Source organism: Homo sapiens, chromosome 14, assembly GCF_000001405.40.
Source record: "Homo sapiens chromosome 14, GRCh38.p14 Primary Assembly".
Classification (NCBI taxonomy): domain Eukaryota; kingdom Metazoa; phylum Chordata; class Mammalia; order Primates; family Hominidae; genus Homo; species Homo sapiens.
In genome coordinates, this window is record NC_000014.9 from 74,958,890 (window position 1) to 74,979,599 (window position 20,710).

A 20,710-nucleotide genomic window follows, 5' to 3' on the forward strand; every position below is an offset into this window, starting at 1 on the left:
AAAACAAACCAAAACAAACAAACAAAAAACAAACTACAGTTACAGAGCAGAGTCCTGTAGCATGGACATGAGATAGAAAATAAAGAATCTTATGCTTCTGCCTGTGGCAGTGGAGAAAGAAAATGGAGCGATTTGCATAGGTGCACACAAACACTAATTCTCACCATCACAGTGCAGGCTCTCAATCCTCAACTGTCACTGAGGCCCTTGAAGTAGACCCAGGTGCTTAGGGGGTGGCAGTCAGTGCCCACAACTCAACACTTAACTGTTTATCACCACAATCTCTTGCTGTTGTTTCAGGGAGAGAAGTAATATTTATTGAACATCTATTATATGCCAAACAGTGTGCTTGGTGCTCTAACCACCTTGACTCATTGAATTCTGATCACATTGTAGTGGTAGGTTTTAATTATTTCCATTTTGAAGATGGAAAGATGGAGGCCCAGGGAGTTTATGTAATTTTCCAATAGTCGTTTAGCTACTTAAAAAGGAACAGTGATGGGGATCAAGCCGAGATCTTTCTCCAAAGGTCTTTCCAGTGAACCTAAGCGCTAGCTCCCAACCTTACTGCAAGGACGTTGAAGGTGAGGGCTGATGTCTTGAGCCGTTTCTGGGTCTTCCCCATGCTGGAGCAGAATGGATGCTTGACAGACTTGGGATGGTTGATGTGTGGAAGGAAGGAGCCCTGATTTCAGGAGCTGACTCTTATGCGGGGAGTCGGGCAGATACAGATAAACATGAGGGGTTGGGTGTGGAAACACTGGGCCATGACAATGCAGTGGACCCTGAGCAGTCATGGCTTCCAGTCTGCAGGCCAGCCCCTGGCCCCCAAGGCATCCTGCAAACACAGTTTCCCATATTATTAGTCATCGTGTTAGCCTGAAACACCTGCCCCAACCCATCCCAGCTTGTAGGCTTTCAGCTTCCTGACTCACTTCCCCATTTTCTAGCCATTTTCCCATTTTCTAGCCTCTTTGTTGTCTTGGCCCTATGAACTTTTCCCCAGTGATGACTTGTCCTCTCTTAACGACAATTCAGCACCTGCCTCTGGAGAGGTGTCTCAAGTGGTCCTGGGTAAACACCCTCTGCTTCTGACCTTGTTCCTGAGTCCCGGACTTGGGTGGCTGAGAAGTGTAGCATCCAAGGATTATCTTCCCCTTCATGACTGGTAGAAAGGGAAACAGTGGGCAGCTCTGGGCCAAGGGCCTTTTCACTTTATAGACTGAACCTGCATTATAGCCAGCAGCTACTCAAAGCTGCTAGCAAGCAGATGCTTGGTTGGCCTCTGCCTTCTTGCCCTGCCTCCTGGGCTGCGATTTCCTGTGGACCCACCCCAGCCTCCATCCTGAGCTCTTCTTCTCTTTATGCACTTGTTCTAGGCAGGATTCCATGGCTTCCCTGGCAACCAGCACTGGGTAAGACATCCCTGGTACAGGTTCCCACAGTACCTTGAATTCCCCTCCATCATGGCACCTGGCCTTCAGTATCACAATTGCCCAGTTGCTTATCTGTCTTGCCTAAAAGATGGTAAGATCTAAGAGGGCAGGTACTGTGTCTCTTGTTTACCCTTGTAGCCTCCACACCTTGCTCAGTGTCTGGGACATAGTAGGCCTTAATTGATATGTTTTGAGTTGGATCAATCCTCAGAGACTAGACCTTCCGCATGGGGAAAATGTCCCAAGTCTGGCCCTCCCTTACTCACGTGCCCTTCAGCTGTTCAGAGGTGCCCCCTCCTAGACCCCATACTCAAGAACTTTCAACTTGGGTGGGCCCCTCTGATGGTGAGGGACGGAGAGTGTGGGGGAACCATCTCTTGTTACTGTGTAATCATGTGCTGGGTTGGTCACCACAGCCCCACCAGCCACCAGGGGACAAGGCTTATGTCTCAGGCCAGAGACCAGAACCCAGTGGGAGGCCTGGGGTGGGGCCCTGTTGGAAGGGGGCCAGGAGAAGAGCCCATGGGTGTCCAAGTGTTTCCAGGAGTGGGAAAGAAGATGGCATCTGCCACAAGAGCTGGGAACGAGGGAAGCCAGGCAAGGTGCCCACGGCCTTGTCCCAGGCTTCTGGGGCAATGTGTCATCACCAAAGGAATGGAAACCTGTACTTTGGGAACTTGGCAGCCAGGGCTGGGTTTTTCGTGTTTTCTGTAATTATTTCCCTTTCGTTCTCCCTTAGTATTTAGTAAAGCCCTTTGTGAAAATGCCAGCTGGTCTCAGCTGTGCTAAGAGTGGTGACAAAGGGGGACTCTGTGCGTGCTTGGCCCTAAGCTTTAATGGAGGGACCTGGCTTAATGGTGGCAGCAAAGTCAAGGACCATCAAGGACATAGGGAGGCTCTGGGAGCCACAGCCCACACCTCATGTCCAGACAGCCTCCCGAACACTGAGTCTCCTCCCAGGCTCTTCCAGGACCCAGCTTCAATAACCTGGGCTTTATTGAAACCTGGGGGGAATTTGAGACCAGTCTGGACAACATAGTGAGACCCCATCTGTATGAAAAAAAAATAGCCAGGCATGGTGGTGTGTTCTTGTGGTCCCAGCTACTCAAGAGACTGAGGCAGGAGGATTGCCTGAGCTCAGGAGGTTGAGGCTGCAGTGAGCTGTGATAACACAACAACACTGCTCTCCAGCCTGGGCGACAGAGTGAGATCCTGTCTCCGGAAAACAAAACAACAAAAAGGAAGAAGAAAGAAAAGAAGAAAACTGGAGGACTGGAGTGCCAGCCATGGCTGATTTGAGAGAGGGTGTTTATATCCCAGTGGTGTAGAAAGCTCTTCTGAAATCCAGAGGCCGGGCACCTGCTCTGTTCCAGGTACCCCAGAGGGTGACAATCCCTCCCCAGCTGGGGATGGCTTGGTGAGCTGCTGTTCAGGAGCGAGTCCTCTGAGCTATCTTCATTTTCTGCTCTTACAACACAGGGCCCTTTCTAAGCCTTGGACCCCTACCTGTCTGTTGCCCACCAGGGATGGACAATCAGCCAGTCCCTTCCCAGCTGGGGATGGCTTGGTGAGCTGCTGTTCAGGAGCGAGGCCTCTGAGCTATCTTCATTTTCTGCTCTTACAACACAGGGCCCTTTCTAAGCCTTGGACCCCTACCTGTCTGTTGCCCACCAGGGGTGGACACTCAGCCAGTCCCTTCCCACCTGCCTGGGACCCACCACATCCTTAGTTCCCGGGACTGTGCCCCTCTTCTCCTAAGCCCCTTTCCCATCCCCATTGCAGCTCTCAGCTGCTCTGGCGAGAGGGGCCCAGGGAGACCTTCTTCCTCAGGAACAATCACCCCTTTCTGTTGTGTAAGTGATACACGAGGAGAGGAAGCTATTTGTAACTAATTGGCTGTGATGAGGAACGGAGGCTTTGGAGAAATGGAGAGCCTGCGATCGCTCGGGGCGGTCCCGCCTCGGGTTGACAGCTGGGTGGTTCTCCTCAGAGGGGGCAGTAGGTCACCACTTCCTCTGCCCCCACTCCACTGGGGAGGCCTGGGGGATGCTGGCAGGTGGTGGCTCCTGCCATTTGCACCTACTCTGTGCAGGCTCCCTGCTTAACACGCTCAATACTTGGAAATTTCTGAACCACCTTCAAGGGAAGTATTATTGTGCCCACATTTCAGCTGAGAAAATGGAGGTCAAGAGAGGTGAAGTCACTCATGCGAGGTCCTGGGTCCCGCAGCCCGCAAGTAACAGAAGCAAGAGAAATGGACAAGGATCAGCTGAGGCTGACCTAGGAGACAGTGTCGGGGAGGGATTAAGATCCTGCTTCTTACTGGCCGTGTGACCTTGGGCAAGTCTTTGCAGCTTCCTAACCCATCTCAGGGGCGGGCTGTGTGGCTTAAATGAGGAAGAGGAAGCCAATCATGCAGCACAGTACGTTGTAAATGCTTAACAACTTCAGTGATCTTGATTGTTTCGGGGAGAAAATACATTTCCTCCAAGCTCCTAGCAGACCACCCTGGTCACCTGTCAGGGAAGCCATCCCAGAACAGGAGAGTCTCTGGGTTATTTCTCAGCCCTCCAAGGGGAGGAGCCAACCTCCAAGACCCCCTTCTCCATAGAGAAGGATCTGGGGATAAGATGAGAGAGAAGAGGGTGCCCATGTCCATGGGGCCTGTTCTGTGTGCCAGGCACATAAGGAGACAGAGGTGATCCCAGTTCCTAGACAACCACAGATAATTATGAATCAGCCTCTGATGAACACAGCCAAGGTACAAAATGCTAAGGGAGCATAAACGGTGGGGAAGATGATGCTAGGCTGCGTGTGTGCGTGTGTATATAAAGGTGGGGAATCAAAATACATATTGGATCTCCCTGGCCTGGGAATCCTGACCATCCCTTCCCTTAGGGAAGGCATCCGAGCCCTGCTAGAAGATTCTGTGAAAAGGGAGAGGAGATGGGCCCCGGGACCAGGGCCTGAGGCTTCTTGGAGAAGGAGGTCTTAATGCCCCAGCGTGTCTTCAAGGTGGCAGTGTGACTAAAGTCTTCTTCAGGGGACTTCCCCACCCCAAATGGGGAAAAAAAAAAAAGCAATGCCTGCTTTCTGGGTGGTAACTGAAGGACTTCCCTGAGCGACTGTGGGAGGGGCTTGGGGTCCCCCATGTCTCAGAGACAGAGGAAGCGGCCCCTCACCCTCTGCACACTGTGTCCAAAGGCTGCAGAGTCGGGAGGCAGCCAGTCTGGCCCCGAAGGCTGTCACTCGGCATCCCGGAGCTGGCACTGGGGTGAAGGTCTGGAGTCTCCGCTTGGCAGGAGATCCAGTGCTCATCCTGATCCGGGGAGCCTGGGGGATGGCAAGGGGCTAATGTGCTTGTTGGGAGTGACGCTGTCTCTGCTAGGGAGCAGGAGGTCAGTGGGGACAGTACGGACTAAACTCATAATTGGAGCAGCATGGATCTGGGTGAGGACACTGGGAGAGCTGGATCTGTTCCATTTTACTGTCATCCCTTGGAGTGTTACAGCTTGGTCAGTTGTCCTCTGTGCTTCAGAGAGAGCGAGGCCAGGGTGGGTGATTCCACAGGACCAGAGCACCTGTGTGGCAGGCTCAGATTTCATCCCTGACAAAGAGCAGAGGCTCCTGGCAGGGGTGGCCTGAGCTAAGGAGGAAGGAGACAAGAAACTGAGTGTTCTATGAGTTCTTCCTGCATTCAACCCTGTACGGTGCCAGCTCTGGCTCAGTGCTGGGGACACCAAGACGGTGATGGCTCTCGAGCAGCTTCCAGTCCAGGAAGAACAGCTTAACATTGGCTTAATACCAAGTCTGTGCAAAAAAGAGCTTCCAGGGGCTCTGACGCAGACTTGTGGTTGCAGGCAGCTGAGCAGGTCTGCACGTTCCAGGTGGCCTGTCCTCTCCAGCACATTCAGGCGTGTGGAAGACAGAGTGTTCGGGAGACTTCTGAGGAGGCCCACAGAGGGAGCAGGAAAGGGGTCAAGAAAGATGTGACCTGGAGAAAGTAATGCTTGTGTAGCATCTTACAGGACGGATTGAAGCTTATGAGGAATAGAAGGGCAGAAAGGGCATTATAGTCAAGGAGTGAAGCTGGACACAGTATGGGTTATTTGAGGAACATCTAGGAATCTGATGGGGCTAGACTGTGTGCAGGGGAGGGGAAGGGCTATGCCTGGAGGTGAGGCTGGCTGGGGTCAGGTTGTGAAGAGATTTGAAGACCAGACTGAGAGTTCACAGTTTATTCCAAGGGCTCTAGGGAGCCATCGCCGGTTCTTGAGCAGGGGAGTGATATAGCCAGATGTGTGTTTTGGAGAAACAACTGAGGACAGGTGAAGGGTTTGTCCCAGAGGCAGGAAAACAAGATCTGTGGTTACTGCAGAGCTGAGTGGCCTGAATCAAGACAGTGACCGTGGGAGGAGAGGGATGGGACCCAGTGTCATCCTGATAAAATAATTTGTTTCTCAGCCTTTTTTGGAGCTGGCTGTGGCCTTGGAACTACGTTTTGGCCAATCCCTGACCCCTTAGAATTTCTTAGGGTCTGGGTGTAAGTGAAAATGTTGGGCTTGACCTTTGGGAAGTATCTTTAAAGGAAGGAGCATGTTTCACTGCTTCCCTATCTGCCAGACATTGCCTGGAATTCAAACCTGATGGTAGGAGCTCTTGCAGTCATCCTGGGCCATGAGAATTATTTGCAAGGAAATTGGTACCCTGAAAACTGTGTGGAACTGCCATACCGGCCCTGACCTGCTTACATCCAGAATTATTATTATGTGTTGGAGAAATAAGCTTCTATCTTGTTTAAACCACTATTATTTTGGAGTTTTCTATTAAAATGTGCTGTTTCCCATTTTTGCCTTCTAAAGGTGAGAAAATTAGTCCCATGGTTCTATATGAGTGTCATAGAGAAAAGATTGCATTCTTCCATGGCTCCTCCTGGGAAGTGAGTCACATCAGTTTCCTGGGAAGAACTGGGCTCTTCCATTCCCTCCCAGTTTGAAGCAGGAACGAGGAGGCCACAGCTAAGGATACAGATGTTGTGGTCCAGCTGAGCTAGACCAGCCTCCCCAGATGCATCCCTCCCTTTCAGCTCTCATCTCCCATGGAGCACAGGAAGGAAACTGTGTTGGGGGCAAGGGGTGCAGAGGGGAGCCGGATTAATTCCACTTATGGTTGGATCTCCAGGGGTGGAGGAGACAGAAAGTCTAGCAGAGCTTTCAGCAGACAGACAGTGGACCTCCAGCTGGCCCCTCGGGCCTTGGACTCTTCTATGAGTCAAAGAACACTTGGCTGCTTCTCCAAAGATCCTCCTCTGCCTCCAGCTTCCTTCATCTGAAAGAGCAAGGTCTCGAGTCTATAGCCCAAGAGATCCTAAGGGACAGGATTGGCCCCTACTTTGGGTGTAATGAGGTGGGGGTGGGAGGGCGTGGGGTGAGAATGGAGGTGGAGTTGGAAACTGACATCTGTGATTTTACTCTCTTACTTTCCAGCTCTAGCTTCAGGTCAGGAAAGCTCTGGGGAGTCCAGTTCTCCCAGATGATGAATTCAATGCTCCAGATGACATCATGCACCTGAATCATTTCCGTATCTTTCTTCCAGGAGCCTGCAGAATTCCCTGGAACCCATATTCACCAAGCACTTACTACATGTCAGGGCTCATGTATACATGTGTGATCTTATTCATTTCTCACAACGGGCTTGAGAGGTTGGCATTGGTCCCACTTTAGTGATGAGAATCATGAGCACAGAGAGGTTGGGTAACTTACCTCAGGTCACCCAGCCAGTAGGTGGCTGAGCTGGAACTTGAACACTAGTTATATGATGCCAGACCATGCTTTTTGCATTAGACATTGCCGGGGTCCCGTGCTGGGGAAGGCCTATGCTGAGGTCACAGGGGGCAGTATATTAGTCCATTTTCACACTGCTATGAAGAAATATCTGAGACTGGGTAATTTATAAAGAAAAAGAGGTTTAATGGACTCAAGAGTTCCACATGACTGGGGAGGCCTCACAATCATGGCAGAAGGGGAAGGAGGAGCAAAGTCACGTCTTGCGTGGCAGCAGACAAGAGAGCGTGTGCAGGGGAACTGCCCTTTATAAAACCATCAGATATCGTGAGACTTACTCACTATCACGAGAACAGCATGGGAAAAACCCACCCCCATGATTCATTTACCTCTCACTGGGTCCCTCCCACAACACGTGGGGCTTATGGGGGCTACAATTCAAGATGAGATTTGGGTGGGGATACAGCCAAACCATATCAGGCAGTTTGCAGGTGATCCCACACCCGGATCAGATTGTAAAGGAGGGGCCCAATTCCCCCTTTCCAGGCCTCCTGCCTCTCATTCCCTCGTAGCACCTCCCTTTTTTCCTCATTTTTACTTCTGGTTGTCTGCACTGGAAAGATTTTCAGTGACAATAGATTTGTGATTCAACCAATAATAGTATTAATAATCTCTTATAGAGACGTATGATTTCAGACTCCTTTCATATACTTTGTGCTGGAAACACCGCTGTGAGGCAGATGAATGAGGTGAGGGAGACTCAGAGAAGCTGAAGAACTTGTCCAGGCCCACACAGCTAGCAAGGTTAGAGGTCAGAACCAGAACTCAGGCTCCTGGTTCCTTATGCTGCATGGAGTCTGACTTCTGATCTCAGTCCTCTTAGCACTTTTTTTTTTGAGACAGAGTCTTGCTCTGTCATCCAGGCTGGAGTGCAGTGGCACGAGCTCAGCTCACTGCAGCCTCAAACTCCTGGGCTCAAGGAATCCTTCTGCCTCAGCCTCTCAAGTAGCTGAGACCACAGGGGTGCACCACCATGCCTGGCTAATTTTTTTATCTGCAGAGCTGAAGTCTTACCATGCTCCCCAGTCTGATCGTAAGCTCCTAGGCTCAAGCAATCTTCCTGATTCAGCTTCCCAAAGTCTTGGGATTACAGAACCACCTTGCTTGGCCACTTAGCACTTTCTGAATGACATCTACCTTGTTCCAGGCCCTGTGCTGGGTACTGGGAGAGATTCTGAGGCTTAAGACACAGTCTCAGCCTTTGAGGAGCTGAAAATTCAGCAGTAAAAGAAAGAAAAGCCAAGGAATCACACGGAGACAGTAAAGCAGCAATTGGCAGGGGTCTCAGAAGAGTCCCTTGGAGGTATCACTTCTCCTAGGGATGTCTGCATCTCCCCAGAGACCAAAATTATCAATAACCATGTGCCACAGTCATGCTGCTTGCCATATCCAAATACCATCTCTATTAGTCTATTCTTGTGCTGCTAATAAAGACATACCCAAGACTAGGTCATTTATTAAGGAAAGAGGTTTAATGGACTCAGAGTTCCACATGGCTGGGAAGGTGTCACGATCATGATGGAAAATGAAGGAAGAGCAAAGGGACATCTTACCTGGCAGCAGGCAAGAGAAAGCTTGTGTAGGGGAACTCCCCTTTATAAAACCGTCAGCTCTCGTGAGATTCACTATCACGAGAACAGCATGGGAAAGATCTGCCGCCATGATTCAATTACTTCCCACTGAGTCCCTCCCACGACATGTGGGAGTTACGGGAGCTACAATTCAAGATGAGAGTTGGGTGGGGGCACAGGTGAACCATATCGCCATCTGTAGTATTACTTATTTACCGTAGTCCCCCTTATTTATCGAGGATATGTTCCAAGACCCCCCGTGGATGCCTGAAATCATGGATAGTACCAAACCCTATATAGTCTGTTTTTTTCCATAACTACATACCTGTGATAAAGTTTAATTTATAAATTAGGCACAGTAAGGGACTAACAACAATAAGTAATAAAATAGAACAGACCAGGTTCAGTGGCTCATGCCTGTAATCTCAGCATTTTGAGAGACTGAGGTGGGAGGATCACTTGAGGCCAGGAGTTTGAGACCAGCCTGGGCAACATAACAAGACCCTGTCTCTATTAAAAAAAAAAAAAAAAAAAAGACCAAGCGAGATGGCTCAAGCCTGTAATCCCAGCACTTTGGGAGGCCAAGATGGGTGGATCATTTGAGGTCAGGCACTCGAGACCAGCCTGGCCAACCCTGGCCGACAGGGTTTTACCTGACCAACAGGTAAAACCCTGTCTCTACTAAAAATACAAAAATTAGCCGAGTATGGTGGCGTGCACCTGTAATTCCAGCTGCTCAGGAGGCTGAGGCAGGAGAATCGCTTAAACCCAGGAGGCAGAGGTTGCAGTGAGCTGAGATAGCACCACTGCACTCCAGCCTGGGTGACAGAGAGAAACTCCGTCTCAAAAAAAAATAGAACAAGGAGAACAATATATTGTAATGAAAGTTATGTGAATGTGGTCCATCTCTCTATTTCTCTTTCAAAATGTCTTACTGTACTGTACTACAGGTAACAGAAACCATGGAAAGTAAAACTGGATAAGGGGGACTACTATATTTGTTTAAGCTAATTGATTCTTTTTTACTTAAAAATATTTTTAAAGGAAACTTTGTATCACTACCTTAAATAGAAAGGTAACTACAAAAATCAATTAAATTATAGCTGGATTTGCTGGCAGAGAATCTAAGCCCAAGGCCCACTTTCTTTTTGTTTAAAAGGAAAATTAGCAAGTGTTAGTGAGGTGTTATAGACACATTACCTCCTAACCAAGGCTTTCTTTTGGCTCATTAAAAGTTTGGAAAGAGAATTGGAAATGGGACAGCTTTCTCACTCCATGATTCAATGTTATTAAAGGCTGTGTTTGGAGTCCAGCTAAATTCATCTTAAACATGCCCCCAAAACATCTCATATGTTCATGCTTGAGATGAACCAGTGACATAGAAAAATAAACATTTTAAGCTCATGGTCTGGGTAGGGGTGACGTCTAGGGGAGCAGAACCTCAGCTGGTAAGCCACTGAGGGCAACATAGAAGGTTCCTGCCATCTTCTCTCTGAAAAAGAACAAGAAGAATAGGGAGATTTTCAGCCTTGGCACATCCTTTTACAATGTGCAGAGAATTTTTTTTTTTTGGCAGTCTTGCTCTATCGCCCAGGCTGGAGTGCAATGGCACAATCTTGGCTCACTGCAACCTCTGCCTCCTAGGTTCAAGCGATTCTCATGCTTCAGCTTCCCGAGTAGTTGGGATTACAGGTGCGTGCCACCATGCCTGGCTAATTTTTTTGAGATGGAGTCTCGCTCTATCGCCCAGGCTGGAGTGCAGTGGTGTGATCTTGCCACACTGCAAACTCTGCTTCCCGGGTTCAAGCGATTCTCTTGCCTCAGCCTCCTGAATATAGCTGGGATTACAGGCGCGCACCACCACGCCTGGCTAATTTTTATATTTTTAGTAGAGACAGCGTTTTACCATGTTGGTCAGGCTGGTTTCTATCTCCCAACCTCATGATCCACCCTCATCTGCCTCCCAAAGTGCTGGGGTTCCAAGACCCCCCATGGATACCTGAAATCATGGATAGTACCAAACGCTATAGTCTGTGAGCCATATAGGCGTGAGCCACTGTGCCTGGCTGATTCTTATTTTTTTATTTTTTAGACAGGGTCTCACTCTACCACCCAGGCTGGAGTGCAGTGATGTGATCTCGGCTCACTGCAGCCTCTGCCTCCCAGGTTCAAGCGATTCTCTTTCCTCAGCCTTCTGAGTAGCTGGGACTACAGATATGTGCCACCATGCCCGGCTAATTTTTGTATTTTAAGTAGAAACAGGGTTTCACTAAGTTGGCCAGACTGGTCTTGAACTCCTGACCTCAAGTGATCTGCCCGCCTCGGCCTCCCTAAGTGTTAGGATTACAGGCATGAGCTACTGCTTCTGGCCACATGCAGAAATTAAAAAAAAAATTGAGGCCAGGTGCGGTGGCTCACGCCTGTAATCCCAGCACTTTGGGAGGCTGAAGCAAGCAGATCACTTGAGGTCAGGAGTTTGAGATCAACCTGGGCAACATAGGGAGGCACCATCTCTACCAAAAATACAAAAAATTAGCTGGGTGTGGTGGTGCGTGCCTGTGGTCCCTGCTACTCAGGAGGCTCAGTGAGAGGATAGCTGGAGCCCAGGAGGTGGAGGTTGCAGTGAGCCGAGATCACACCACTGCCCTACAGCCTGGGTGACAGAGTGAGACCCTGTCTCAAAAAAAACCCAACCAACCAACCAAACAAACAAAAAAGCCATTTGAAGCTCACAGCCCTATGAAGCACACAAAATAGTACTTTCTGTTATGGCTGAGAAAACTCAGCTGGTGAGGTTTTCAGGGACCACCCAAGGTCATCCAGCACGTTATCCCACAAAATACTGAGCAAATGCTTGATGCCCCTCTCTGGAATCACATCATCCTCAAGCAGGAGCATGTAGTATCCACTTTGTAAGAGAAATCTGTCCCCCGTCGAAGCAAAATCTGGACTTTCAGAGGTTGGTCCTAGAGAAAGAACTTCTGCTGGAGCCATCCTGGGAATCTGATCTCTGCCTTCAAAACCAGATTCACCTTCCCTTAGGAGATCTCTCTCTTTCTGACTCCTGCTGCTACCACCTCATTGGTCCCAGTGTTTACTCAAGGGAAGGAAGATCAGAGGGGAAACAAACGCCAAGGGGTTGGGAATGGGTCGGCATCTGGAGTCTGAGACAGCTGCCCTCCTGCGTCAAGGGCTGGGGGCCTCAGCTTCCATCCTGTGCCAGCCTCCATGTGGACAGCTCAGCTTATTGTCCACCACCTGGAAATTCCTCGAAGCTTCATGGTCCAGGTCAAGAGAATCCTGTTCCCAGACCTCTGCCCAGCCAGGCCTTCCCAGCTCAGGGCTGACTCCTGCACCAAGTGACGCACTTTTCATAACTGGTCTACCAATGCCTCCCCTTCAAGTGAGAACTACCCTTTACATTTAGGAGTGTGGCCCCGCAGTAAAAACACACTAAATTTGTCTTAATTCAATAATTAATGTATATTCATTGTAGAAAATACAAATTAGCATAAATAATAAACATTATCCAATCTTATTACTCAGAGAAAACCCTTATTAATATTTTGTTATATCCTTGTGGATATTTTCTGTGCATGCATATATTTTTTTCCTTATAAAAATGGCGTCATGGCAGGTGTGGTAGCTCACACCCGTAATCCCAGCGCTTCAGGAAGTCAAAGTGGGAGGATTGCTTGAGGCCAGGAGTTCAAGACCAGTCTGGGCAACATAGCGAGACCCTCATCTCTACAAAAAAAATTTAAAAATTAGTTAGTCATGGCAGTGCATGCCTCTTGTCCCAGCTACTAGGGAGGCTGAGGTAGGAAGGTCACTTAAGCCCAGGAGTTTGAGGCTGCAGTGAGCTTTGATCTCACTACTGCACTTCAGTCTGGGTGACAGAGTGAGACTCTGTCTCAAATAAATAAATAAATAAACAAATAAAATGACATCTGTTTTGCAGCATGCTTTTCTTCATTTTATCATATTTTGGGAAGGCCTTTTCATATCAATGGTGAAAATTCTACAGCTTTGCTGCTCAAACAGTGGTCCGGGGACCAGCAGCATTGGCATCACCTGGGAGCTTGTTGAAATGCAGAACTTTAGGTCTCATCGCAGAGCTATTGAATCAGAATCTGCATTTTAATGAGATTCCCAGGGAATTATTGTGCACATTGAAGTTTGAGAGCACACTGTTTGACATCATTCTTAACACTTACATATTGTTAAATACTTACCACTTACCCAGGGGATACTTAAAACTGCATGGCTAAATTTTTTTCTTTTCTTTCTTTCTTTCTTTCTTTCTTTCTTTCTTTCTTTCTTTCTTTCTTTCTTTCTTTCTTTCTCTTTCTTTCCTTCTTTCTTTCCTTCCTTCCTTTCTTTCTTTCTTTCCTCCTTCCTTCCTTCCTTCCTTCCTTCCTTCCTTCCTTCCTTCCTTCCTTCCTTCCTTCCTTTCTTTCTTTCTTTCTTTCTTTCTTTCTTTCTTTCTTTCTTTCTTTCTTTCTTTCTTTCTCTTTCCTTTCTTTCTTTTTTTTTGAGACAGAGTCTCCTCCTGTCGCCCAGGCTGGAGTGCAGTGCCACAATCTCGGCTCACTGCAACCTCCACCTCCCAGCTTCAAGTGATTCTCCTGCCTCAGCCTCCCAAGTAGCTGGGATTACAGGCACCTGCCACCACGCCCAGCTAATTTTTGCATTTTCAGTAGAGACAAGGTTTCACCATGTTGGCCAGGCTGGTCTCGAACTCCTGACCTCAAATGATCCACCCACCTTGGCCTCCCAAAGTGCTGGGATTATAGGTGTGAGCCACTGCGCCTGGCTAAATTTTTCTTTTCAAACTCACCTATAATTGGGCTTTAGGATTTACCTAATGTTTTCTCCATTATTAACAATGCTGTGATGGACATCTCTATATGTAGTTGCTGCTCATGTCCTTTAAATTCCTAGAAGTAGAATTTCTGGGTCAAAGCTTTCGATACTTATTGTCAACTTGCTTTACAAAAAGGTCATCCTAGTGTGCAGTCCTTCCTGCAACGTCTAAGAGTGATGAGATCCCTACACCCTGACAGTCCCTGGTACTATCATTCTTTGACATCTTTGCCCATGAGTTCCATGAAAGTCGTGCCTCAGGGTTGGCTTTGGACATATTTCCTTTGTTATTGGCTGGTCCAGTTGAACATTTCTCTGTGCCAGTGTTGGCCATTTGCATTTCTTCTGGCTGTGTGCCTGCTGGGGTCTTTAATGCCTGAAGCCCACCAAGATAGTGGGAGATGTTGCCAGGGAGGGCTGCAGGGAGTGTGGCCTGAGCCCAGCCCTGATGCAGAGTCCTGCACATAGTGGTCGCTCATGTTGCTGCCTGGCTGAGGGCACAGCCAACTTGGGCCAAAACTCAGACCCAGCCTGGCGGCGCTCTTGCGGTCCCAGCCTTGTGCTGTGTCCAGACCCCAGAGCAAGTGCCCAGCCAAGGTCTCACCTCCTGGCCTGTGAGGCCTGGGTGCCGGCTGCCACCCAGGATGGTGCTTGCAGGCCGGGCCAGGCACCCCATGATTCCCCAGGCAGCAGGCGGGTGGCCAGGTGTGCTGGGAGGAGCCAGCGGTGAGGACAATTCAGGGAAGTGACCCTGCCCAGTCCCCGAGCTCCTACCACAGCAAGCATTGTGAGCCTCCCGCTGGCCACGGTGGCTGAAGCTGCTGACAGTGGCGGCAGGAAGTGGGGCGCTTACTCAGCCCAGGCTGCACGTGGCTGGGCCTGCTGCCTCCCTCCACTCAGCCTTCCTCCCAGACACAGCCTGCGCAGCCAGCAGCTGGGGGAAGGAAACAGGAGGGACCACCCCCCACATCCCCTGCAAGGCTGTACCTGTGCCCTGCCAGCTCTGCCACCTGTTACTGACTGGGCATGAGGCCTGCCCCAGGGCCTCTGCGGCAGAGCGAGGAGTGGGGCTGGGGTGTGGGGTGGGCAGGTGGGCTTGGGGTAGGATCTGCACTGACATCTACTGAACGTACCACCCTGAGGGTCTCACTCCACCCAATCCCCACAGCCCCGGGACTACGAGTACTATTCACCTCCCTTTCACTAACAAGGAAATTAAGGCTCAGAAAACAGGAGTAATGATAGCTTAATCTAGAATTACTTCCAGGTGCCAGGAACTCTGCTGCACACTTCATATGTGTTCGGTTATTTAAGCCTCACAAGAAGAGTGGGTGCAATAGGAGCCCCATTTTCCAGATGAAGAAAGCCAGGCATAGAGAGGTGGCAGCACACAGCCTATTAGGGACACACCTTAGTGTCTGGCCCCAAAGCTCACACCCTTAACTGCCTCCCGCACTAGCAGGTGACCTAGAGCCTCAGGCCTGGCTGAGAGTGGCAGTGAGGAAGGGGAGGGGGCCAGCCCGCTGCCCTCATTAGATTGTCTTGGCGCTGGCCACCTGTCCCCCACAGGAGCACCCAGGTTTCACCCCACTTTGTCGCCCAACCCTGGGCCTCTGTCTCCAGTCCTCTCCTGTGTCTCCTGCCCTCTAACCAGGCAGCCTTTGGGGACTGTCTCTCAGGTGCTTGTCTTGCTCCTCCTCTGGCTGTCCCTGTCCTGCTCTTTGACCCCTGACCTTGGGTTTCTCTGGCTCTTCTTTTTAGTAGGCAAAAGGGGGAAAGAAGGAATTTGCATGGAATGCGGCAAACATCCCGTCAGAGGGCATTTCTGGAGGTGCCTCTAATTGTGGCCTCCAGTTGCTATGGGAAGCAGAAAAGTGTCTCCCAGCTGGGAGCGGTGTGGGTAAAGGATAAAGCCGAGGGGAAGGGAGAGAGGAGCCTCTTCAGGAGCTGGAGGCCCGTGGGACTGGGGTCCGGAGGATGAGCGCTGCCTGCTGCCCAGAACAGGGAGGGTGGAGCAGCCCTGGGCCCCACGCGCCTGGCCTTCTTCCACCTCCCACTGTGATGGTGGTGGCCCCAGGCTGCCCCTGGGCCTGTAGCAGCTGTTGCTGCTGATGCAAGCTGTTGGCTGCGGGAGGTGGGAAGGTGATGAGGAAGGAGGGAGTTATTCTCAGGGTGAGGGTCTCTGCGTAAGCCTGTTGACAAGCTTTCAAGTCTGCAGGACAGGACTCCGGGTTTCCAACCAGATTCACTTCTGTCCCAAGTGGGGCCCAAGGCCAGGCCTCCCGAAGCCTTTTGCGATCAGGGTGGAGTCCAACCACCAGCTGTTATGGCAACCTGTATCTCTTCAGGGCTGCAGGGAGAGGCCTGGAGCCCGCAGCCCAAGGGACCAGGGGCTCAGAAGTGAATGGCAATGGGCAAACCCATGGGTATGCCAGGAGGAACCCTACTGGGTAAGCCCCAGAGAGGGGCCCGTCTCTGGCCCAGCCGCTTCCTTCCAGTCCTTGCCTCTTCCCGGCAGTGTCTCCTGGGTCTGGCCTAACTAAGCTGGGCTTCGGCCAAGCTGGCCGGCCTCCAGGTGGATTTGGGACAGACAGCTGGGATGTGGTGTTTCCCGCTCTGAAGAGATAGAGGCTGGAGGGGGCCGTGATGGGGCTGGAGCCTGGAGTGCTGGGCCCTTGGCCACTTGACCACAGCAGGATGGTGGGGGTAGGGTGGGTGGGCTGGCGGGAATGTCTTTGGTGGAGGTTTCCCAGGGAGGGGAGGTGTCAGAGGAGTACGGCCAGGTAGCTTCCCATACCTCCACATGTTCTCTATCTGGGTGGGGAAACAAATGGCTGTTACCCCTGAGACCTAAGTGGGTCTCTCTGGTGGGTCAGCCAGCTGGCCTTGGCACCTGTCTTGTGTCCTCCCTAATGGCTCGCACTCACTCAGCTGCTCTCCTCCCTGGGTCAGGTCAGCCTGGCCCAGGGTAGCATCAGGCAATTTTTACTTGCTTCTTTTTACATGTCCTGGGGGACCGTCATAGCTGCCTGGACTCCTTGATTCTGGCACAGACACTGTGTTCAGCTCCTCAGGACAACCTGTGCTTGGCTCTACGGGGCACACATGAATGAAGAGCACAGCCCTCCTTCCCACCACACATACACACAGCTGCCAGGTTCCATTGCCAGCTTTGGTCATCCTTCCTGTCCTTCCTTGTCTGGATGACTCCAATCCATCCTTTGAGGCCCATGTCAAATGGGGAGCTGTTTCTGCCCTTCCCACCTGCTCCAGGCAGAATCATCCATCTCCCCTCTGTGCCCCCTTAGACAAAGCATGTAGGAGGCATTGAGTGAATGAAGCTTCCCAAAGGGCCATTAGGATCCTTCCAGTCTCCTGCTTAGAAAAGTTCCCTGGCCCCCATTGCAAAAAGCCCTTTTGCACTCTTTGGCTTCATCATCCCCTAGGCTGAGCCGGAGAACCCTCTGCTCCAATAAAGTGGTCTCCTAGCCTTCCACCAAACTTGGCCTGAACCTTCCCCACTCCATCCCCTGCTCAGGCCACCCCTTGTCCTGGAATGCACTACCACCATGCTCACCTCTTGAAACTCCACTCTGCAAGGCCTGGTGTCTCTTGGTGTCCTGGGAGGCCAGTGGCTCCCAAAGGGCATGGGAGAGACCCCCTCTTAGGGGCCTGGTGTTTTTCTTCCTTTCCTTCCCCTTGCTCCTCCTCTCTATGGACTTTTGAACAACTTCCAGGATACATTCCATAAATTTGAAGGAAGCAGTAACTAACAGCCTCCCATTAATGTTCCCGTGTGCGCACACATGGAGTGTGCCATTGTGTGTGGATGAACATATGTTCATATGAAGATATGAGCAAGCATGTACATGGAGATAGGACCTATGTGCAAAAATGAGCATGCCTGTGCGTGTGTGAAAGTGGGCGCGTGCATGTGCATATGAACATTTTTGTGCAGGTGAGCCTGTGCAGACATGCCAAAATGTGTGCATGCATCGATGTGCATTGCAGGTGTGTGCTTGTACATGCTGGTGAATCTCTATGTGCATGTGGGGTATATGTGCTCTAGTGAGCTTCCTTTTGCCCAGCCCAGGGGTACTGGGGAAGGCCAAAGCCAGTCTGCCTTCTACACCTCGCCACCCTCAACCTCCAGGGAAGTGAGGAAGGCTTCACGTTGCATCCTGACTTTTGACAGAGATAAATGAAATTCCTGTGAGGTTGCCAGGCTGCAGCAAAGAGCAGCTGTGAGTGGCAGGGGTCCAGCCCCAGACTGGCCTGGCCCTTGGCCTCCAGCCCTCAGCACACCGTGTCCCCCATCGAAGTGGTACCCAGGATGAGGAGGACTCAGGACAGGTTCAGCAAAGGGTAATGGCTCTGCCCTGGTCCCCAGGCAACAGGCTCTGTCTCTGGGCCTGCAAGTTTGCGCCTGGTGGTGGGGATGATGGTGGGGCCAGAGTGCCTAGGAGCTGCTAGATCAAATGGTGCTCTTTCCTCTGGGGAGTGAACTCTGGAGGAACAAAGCAATAGGTTAATGGTGCAGGAGGATCCATTTATGTGAACCCACTTTAGATAGAACAAGGAAATACAGGTTTAAAGTGCAGCAAGGAAGGTTTAGCTAGACTTAAGGAAGGAGTCCTTCAGTGGCAAAGGCTGCAAAATCTGTGTCCACAAAGATCTGGACAACAGGATCCATATCCACCCATGGGGCTGGTGGAGGTGGTCGGAGGCAGGAGACTGGCTGGGATGACCTTTAGAAGTGCTCCCTCCCCACACAGTCCTGGCTCTGTCTCGGGGTCTCTGCAGCTCTGTGGGGACCCAGAGGGGAGTCTGGCAGGGAGGATTGGCCGGGCACACTTCTGGGCACTGCTCCCAAGCTCCTTCCCTTCTCTGCTTCCTCCAGAACCTTCTTATCCTTCATTTCCTGCTGCCCTCCTCTCACCTCCAAGTGGCTGCCCCAGCCGTGCCCCCAAAGTGGCTTCCTCACTCCCTCCCTGCTGCTCCAGAATTGGGAAAGAAGCCACAAATTCCCCCAGCGGACCACCCCCAAAGGCCCAGCCCCGTCTCACCCACGAGAGGTGCTTAGAGGCCCAAATTGGGTGCGGCTGCGGGGAGGTGGGAGCCAGGGGCCTCGGTAGGCATCATCCCTCCACCAGGGTGGTCTCGAGGAGACAAGGCCAACTGAACAGAGAGAGTGCGCCCTGCAGGCAGGGTCACAGGAGCCCTGAGGCCTCCCTCTGTCTGGGGCCTCCCTCTCTGGGGGGCTTCAGGGCCTGTGCTTACCCTCTCTGGTGGCTTCCTCTTGCTCTCTAGGGAGTGGCCTGTGGGGAGGACATGCAGACACGCAGAGGTGCTTGGGGAGGATGTGGAGGGATAGAGGGTGCCCCCTGCACCCCTTGCTCCCCTCCTCCTCCTCCTCTTCCTCCTCCTTCTCCTCCAGGAGCCCCTGTGCCTTCCCTGGGAGGTCTGACCCAGGCAAGCCCAGGGACGAGGGGAGGCAGTCATTAATCACCATTATTTATTATTTCTTATGTAACAGGGTGTTATGAAACATGCAACCCTGTACCAGGCACGACTGGGAATATGGGAAAGACAGTCCCTACCAGTAAGAGCTTCCTATGGGATGACCAGGTAGGTCCAGGAGCCACTGAGCAACCTGTGGACCAGCCTGGAACGTGGGGTGCAGGCCAGGCTGGAGGCGGGATGGTCCTGCTGCAGCTGAAAAAAAGGAAAAAGGAGGGGAGTGGGCAGCGGGAACCTCAAGGTGGGAAGGGAGCTGGGTTTCCACCCCCACCCCTCCGCACCTCGCCAGGCCAGGCGCAGACCAGCTCTGGCTCTGGGGTGGCCTGGGTCACAGCTGGAGTTGTCACAATATTGACCCAGGAGGAGATAACATCCAAAGGGCTTGGAGTCCCAGTCGGACAAGGAGGGGGATGTCGCCGGAAAAGATCCCTGGCCCCCAGGGGGATCAAACTAAATGGGGCTTTAATAGGTCTCTTCCAGCTCAGATTTCATGGATAATTGGAAGCAGGTCTCCAGCCAGGCAGAGTGGGCAGCCCTAGTGGCCTGCCGGGCGGCCACCGCAGCCAGGAGACAAGGAGGGACAAGGCGGGGTGGGGGTGCCACCTCCATGCCACCCCACTGTGGCCCAGTGGGCCTCTGGCCTTGCTGGGGCTTCTGGGCTCCCTTCTCTCTGTTCCAGAAGTGCTGCTGCTTTAACCCCCTCAGGGAAGGAGGTGGACAAGTGAGGAGACCTGAGTCATTTAGCTCCGGGGAAGGAGAGCAGCCTGTCCCAGCCACACATGCCCGAGGCTTCTTCCGTCATTCAAATACACATTCACATTTAAAGCTGGGAACAACTCTGAAAAATAATGTCTTCATTTTTTTTCTTATCACAAAAGGGGTACATACTTGCTGAAACAAAATTCAAGGTATATTAAGTAAAAAGTGAAAATTCTCTCCCCACCACACACCCATTACTCCTCTGTCCCTCTCTCACCACCCCCAGACTCTGCAGGTAGCCTCTGACTGCAATTTATTGGCTATCTTTCCAGAGCATCTCCAATGCCTTCTGAATTACATCCTGCTGCTTTCGCTCAGCAATGCATCATTGATATCCTTCCAAGGCCAGTAATTAGGGTGTGGACATTCGTCACTCCCATTTTAAAGATGAGGAAACAGAGGCTCAGAGAAGTTTCTTGGCTGTCCCGGGCTGCACAGCCAGGCCTCGTGCTCATCCTACCACAGCTTTCAGCCTCTTCCCTGGGGGCAGGAGGATGTGAGGAGCAGAGGGCTAGAAAAGCCCTGGGGGGGTGGTGGGTTGGGATGGGGGAGAGGGGCCGAAGAATAAGAAGGAAGCAGCAGCAGGCGAGGGAGGGTGTGAGGTCTCCTTGGAATGCGGCGGCGGTGCCCCTCCTCCCTGAAGGATCCAGGTTTTCCTCAGGCAGCGGAGCCTGGGGCCCTGGAGGCCTAGGCTGGGCAGAGCTGAGCAGCTGGC

General features: G+C 51.5%; 2 annotated features.

The window, feature by feature from the left end:
• Positions 4,437 to 4,586: an enhancer, noted in NCBI's record as "active region_8733". NCBI's record gives its function as "activates an Ori minimal core promoter by ATAC-STARR-seq in GM12878 lymphoblastoid cells {active_cell/tissue: GM12878}" and the evidence as "EXISTENCE:reporter gene assay evidence [ECO:0000049][PMID:35858748]".
• Positions 6,346 to 7,545: an enhancer, noted in NCBI's record as "BRD4-independent group 4 enhancer chr14:75431938-75433137 (GRCh37/hg19 assembly coordinates)". NCBI's record gives its function as "activates an origin of replication core promoter dependent on BRD2, P300/CBP, MED14 and CDK7 cofactors, and independent of BRD4, by STARR-seq in HCT116 cells {active_cell/tissue: HCT116}" and the evidence as "EXISTENCE:reporter gene assay evidence [ECO:0000049][PMID:35650434]".